Source organism: Homo sapiens, chromosome 6 (assembly GCF_000001405.40).
Source record: "Homo sapiens chromosome 6, GRCh38.p14 Primary Assembly".
NCBI classification, from domain to species: domain Eukaryota; kingdom Metazoa; phylum Chordata; class Mammalia; order Primates; family Hominidae; genus Homo; species Homo sapiens.
Window position 1 is genome coordinate 135,158,491 of NC_000006.12, and position 5,240 is coordinate 135,163,730.

Here is a 5,240-nt window from a genome sequence, read left to right on the forward strand (position 1 = left end):
AAATTCAGCCAAGTGGCCACGGTGATTGGAAGCCCTGAGCAAAAACAACAGAAGGAGGTACAAAACCAGTATGGTGGCAGCAGCTGGTGAATCATACATAACTCATTATAGGAACCTAGGTTTTTACTTTTGTTAGACAGGGTCTGGCTCTGTTGCTCAGGATGGAATGTAGTGGCACAATCTTAGCTTTACTGCAACCTGAGACTCCTGGGCACAAGAGAACCTTTCACTTCAACCTTCTGAGTACCTGGGACTACAGACGCAGGCTACCACGCCAGGATAATTTTTTTTTTTTTTTTTTTAGTAGAGATGGGGTCTCACTCTGTTGCACAGGCTGGTCTCAAACTTCTGACCTCAAGGGATCCTCTCACCCTGGCCTCTCAAAGTGTTGGGATTATACGCAAGAACCACTGTGCCTGGCCAAGTCCTATGTTTTTACTCTCAAATGGGAAGCCATCAAAAACGGTTTGAGAAGAGGGGTGACATGGCCTGATTTACCTGTTAAGAGGATCATTCTGTCTGCTGTGTTGAGAATAGACAGCAAGCTGCCAGTTAGAAGAACAGTATAATATTGTAGGTGGGAGATAACGGTGGCTAATAACAGAGCAGGAGCAAGAGAGGTGGGGAGGTGTGGTCATATTCTGGATATTTTTTATGGGTAGAGCCAATAAGATTTCTTAATGGATTATGAAGAGAGAAATCAAGGATAACCCCCAAATGTTATAACTGGGCGAATGAAGTTGCCATTCAACAAGCAAGAAAAGACTTAGAAGGAGCTGGATGAGAGAGAAGGGTTGGAAAATGAGGACCAGGTATTTAGCTACGTCAGTCTGGAATTGAAGAGAGAGATCCAAGCTGGCTTTGGGAGGCTGAGGCAGGAGGATTCCTTGAGGCCAGGAGTTCAAGCCTGCAGTGAGCTGTGATCGCTCCACTGTACTCCAGTCTGGACAACAGAGCTAGACCCTGTCTCAAAAAAAAAAAAAAAAAGAAAAGAAAAGAAAATTCAGAATCATAAGAATATAGAATGAATTTAAAGCCATTTGTAAGGAGCTGTAAAGCAAGGATGGGATAAACACCTAAAACAGACTTTGATCGAGTAGAGCAGAGGAGAGCAGGGGAAAAGAACACAGAAATGGAAAGCAATGGGTAATGATGGTTCCTGCAAGGGACTTCAGGGTCAAGCATGCCAAGCACAGCACACTGTGACAGGAAACTGGCCATGGGGGCAGGGCTGTGAAGGCAGATGAGCAATTCTGCCTCCTCTGTGCTCACCAGTGTGCCCCGATGATCTCACTTTACTGGTTCTTACACCTCGACCTACCCTCCACAGTCAAGGGACATTTGCTTCATTATTTAATTCTAACTTAATCTTTCTATTAAAAAGATAATAATTTTCTAAAGGGTTTACTATATTTTAAAAATGTGAAGAAAGCTTAGAAAGGAAATGTTTATCTACCCATTTCATATGGAAATAAAATTTCATGCTTAAATTGCCATTTGGTTGTGCTTGTTAGGAATCCCTAACATCCCTAAGGATTTATTAAAGCAGGATCTTCGAGGGGGTCTATCCTCAGTTATCATAACTCATGACCTGTGACATGGGGTGAAACTTGGGGCTTTGGGGGCTTTTTTGCCTGTGCCTGGTCTTTGCTAGCTTTCCCCTTCCTACCCTCAGGAACTCAGTTTTTGGCCCTTTTCCCTTTTCATCCTGTACACACACTCTCTCTGGGAACTCCAACACTCCATATAACCACCACTTATCTGCTGAGGCTCCTCATTTTGCCATTTCTCAGCACAAAGCTCATGAAAACAATGCTTCACCAGTTATCTCCCTTGTGTCACAGGCATCTCAGAAGCCACACATCCCAAACCATTCATTTTTCTCCAGACATCCTCTTCCTTATCCAGAATTCCCTCTCCCACAAGCTTCACCATCACTTATGAAGTCTCCAGAGCCAAAAACCTAGGAGTGACCCTAGACTCTTTCACTCTCCCCACTTCAACCTAGCATCCAGTTAGACTTGTTAATTCTACAATTTAAATATTACTTTCTCCCCTACGCCATTTCTGCAATTCCTGCATACTTTTTTTTTTTTTTTTTTTTGAGATGGAGTCTTCTTTCATCCAGGCTGGAGTGCAGTGGCGCGATCTTGGCTCACTGCAACCTCTGCCTCCCAGATTCAAGTGATTCTTGTGCCTCAGCCTCCTGAGTAGCTGGGGTTACAGGTACACACCACCACACCCAACTAATTTTTTTATTTTTAGTAGAGATGGAGTTGTGCCATGTTGGCCAGGCTAGTCTGGAACTCCTGACCTCAAGTGATCCACCTGCCTCAGCCTCCCCAAGTGCTGGGATTACAGATGTGGAACACCATGCCCAGCCCTCCTATATACTCTTATAATTCCATATATCCAAAGATTTAGCAATTATTTACTTGTATGTCTGTGTCACCTGTTAGACTGTGAATTCTTTGAGGGAGATTAGTGAATCTTATTGTGTAGAGGTGAACTAACTAATGCCAGATTTCTGCAGGGTGAGACCAGTTGGTAAAGATGAGGGTATAGACATCAGTGGCTGCAGCAAGAGGCACTGTAGAAGGGGCAGATATTTGTAACAGTAAAAAGCCTTGCAAAGTTGATGTTGGATGATGCCCCCTAGAATTGTGTGTATGTAGCCTGCACAATCGCATGCAGAGGTCCTGATTAAATATTCCTGAATCTGTGAATGAGAATTTACTGAATGCCTGATATCTGGTGGGAGATAAAGTATCAATCACAGTTCTTCTGTCCTCCAGGAGCTTCCATGTAGTTGGAGAGAAGAGGTGGATGCACAATACGTGACAGTGTAGAATTGTTTGATTTTCATAGTGTAGGCTGTGTCCTGGAAGATAAAAATCAATGAGATTAGAAATGAAAGGCTTCTTGCAGGAAGTAAACCTAAGAGGGGCTCAAAAACTGGTAAAATCCAGTAAAAAGGAAGACAAAAAGGAAATAAATACATGGATTTAGAAGTGTGTTCACAGGACAGTCAAGAGTCTGGCCTGACCAACAGAGAGGTCTCATGCTGTGGGATAGCAGGACAGAAAGTAGGGCAGGTAAAAGACAGAAAAATTAGGCAGAGCATGAATGTGCAAAACGATGAGTCATTGATTTAAGCAAACTGGAATTAAAATTTGACCCTATCCTCTACATAAGGCTGATATTTCTTTTGGCTCAGTTGGATTTCCTTAGGTCTTCTTCCACAAGAAGCACCAAGATATGGATCTAGTAGTCTGCAAAAGTAAAGGAAGTTAGAGGGCGTGCCTGATGTCAGCCAATGGAAACACACCAGCTGATTAAGGAGGGGCATTATTTCACTTAAAAAGGGGCTCTTGCTTCTCTCTAAGGACTCAAAGGCTGATCAATTCAATGAGAAAGACAACATTGAAAGGACTTGAGTGGTGGGTAACCAGAACTAGAACTCCACAGGAGAACATCAATTGTAGTCTTTACAAATATGTGTTTAACTACAGAAAGAGTGCTTAAAGGACAGTCCAAAGAAACATCTTTGTGTATGAGTGTGAAGGAAACAGAAGATATCAGTTAAAGAAAGGACAAGAAAGGAAATGAAAAAGAGGTGTGAGATTTGTCAACCTTTTCCCTAAGCGCCCTTTCCAGTTCTCAGTGAGTGCAATATAATAACTACCCAACATGACAAAAAAACTCATCATGAAACTTCAGCCAGTGGCAAAGCAGAATGAGCAATTTCATAGAACACAACCAACAACTGACATGAGGTCTGCAACAGAACTACAAAAGGAAGACAAGTTAACTGTTAAACCTCCAACAGTTATGTTCTGCTGGGTTAGGAACAACAAAATTTAGAGGCCACATAGTCTTACATTTTATCCCAAGATGTAAATGTTTTCCTTCTATAAGCTTGCTTAGAAATTGAACACACCAAACTATAGAAGATTTTTTCCTGTAATTTGTTGTGCATTATCAGCTATTTACGTAATTACTCTAATTAAGCTAGTTACAGCAGTTCCTGTAAATATGTGAAAGATCACTGAAACATGTAATTATGTCCTTATATCATTAATTAAACTGTATCAGCTGGGAAAATTACTATAACTATGTCTGGAGGTGTCATTAGTCTGTGTAATGGAGACATAGAATTCTTTATTGAACTATAATAAAGTGTTCTGCATTAATAATACATTTAAAACACCACTTGTGATTTTTTAAAGTTCCAGATCTCAGCATAAAAGAAATATGTATCTTTTACTCCACAATGATTTGAAAAACGGACGCAGGTTTTAGGCTTTTTTTATTACCAACTTGGGTAGAAGGCAAGTTGACAAGTGGGCCCAGTTCCCTAGTGGCCATTCTTGGCATTGCAGCAGGAGCGGCAGCATCAAGCCCTGGGCTCTTCCTCCTGGAAGAGGCTCAGCCAAAGCTCATGCTGGGAGAACTTCCCTGCTTCCCATGCTGAACCCGCCCCAACTGTTCCCTCCTAGGTTCTCATGCACCCACGAACCAACCTCTTTTCTCATCGTTTATATGTAAATAGATGTCCGAATGCCCCTAGCCAAAATATTAGATTAATAATAGTAAGAAAAGGAGTAGAAAAACTTCAAAGTAGTACATTTTTTAAAATAGAATTTCAGGCTGGGCATGGCGGCTCACGCTGGTAATCCCAGATACTCAGGAGGCTGAGGTGGGAAGATTACTTGAGCCCAGGAGGTCGAGGCTGCAGACAGTCATGATTACACCACTGTACTCCAGCTTGGGTGACAAAATGAGATGCTGTCTCAAAAAAAAAAAAAAAAAAAAAAAAAGAAAGAAAGAAATTTAGACATCATGAATATGATAAGTGCAGCTGAGAATCCAGTCTTTCATGCCTTCAAATCAGTCAGTTTCTGTCTCCTTCTGAGGCTGGCCCTGCAGTCAGCACTTGGAGATACCTCAAGCCTTATACCAGGAGGCAGCACCCTGATTCAGTCAAGAAAAAACGCAGATCGCTCTGCCAGGGGATGGCATACCGTGGCCACAGACACTCTTATTGGTTCAAAGGATGCTCAATATGAAGAAAAAGGTGCCTAGGACTGAAAAGATGAGGGGATCCCCAGAACTTCAGAAAGACACACAGGAAACCCCCTCCTTCAGAAAATAACAAACAGAGAAAGCTTTCAGTTCTTCAAGTGCAAAAAATAAAAGCTTATGACTAGAATTCTGATTCTCTTTAGTTTAATGTGTAT

The 5,240-nt window shown here is 41.9% G+C and overlaps 1 annotated feature.

Moving 5' to 3' along the window:
* Nucleotides 4,876–4,945: an enhancer, noted in NCBI's record as "active region_25100". NCBI's record gives its function as "activates an Ori minimal core promoter by ATAC-STARR-seq in GM12878 lymphoblastoid cells {active_cell/tissue: GM12878}" and the evidence as "EXISTENCE:reporter gene assay evidence [ECO:0000049][PMID:35858748]".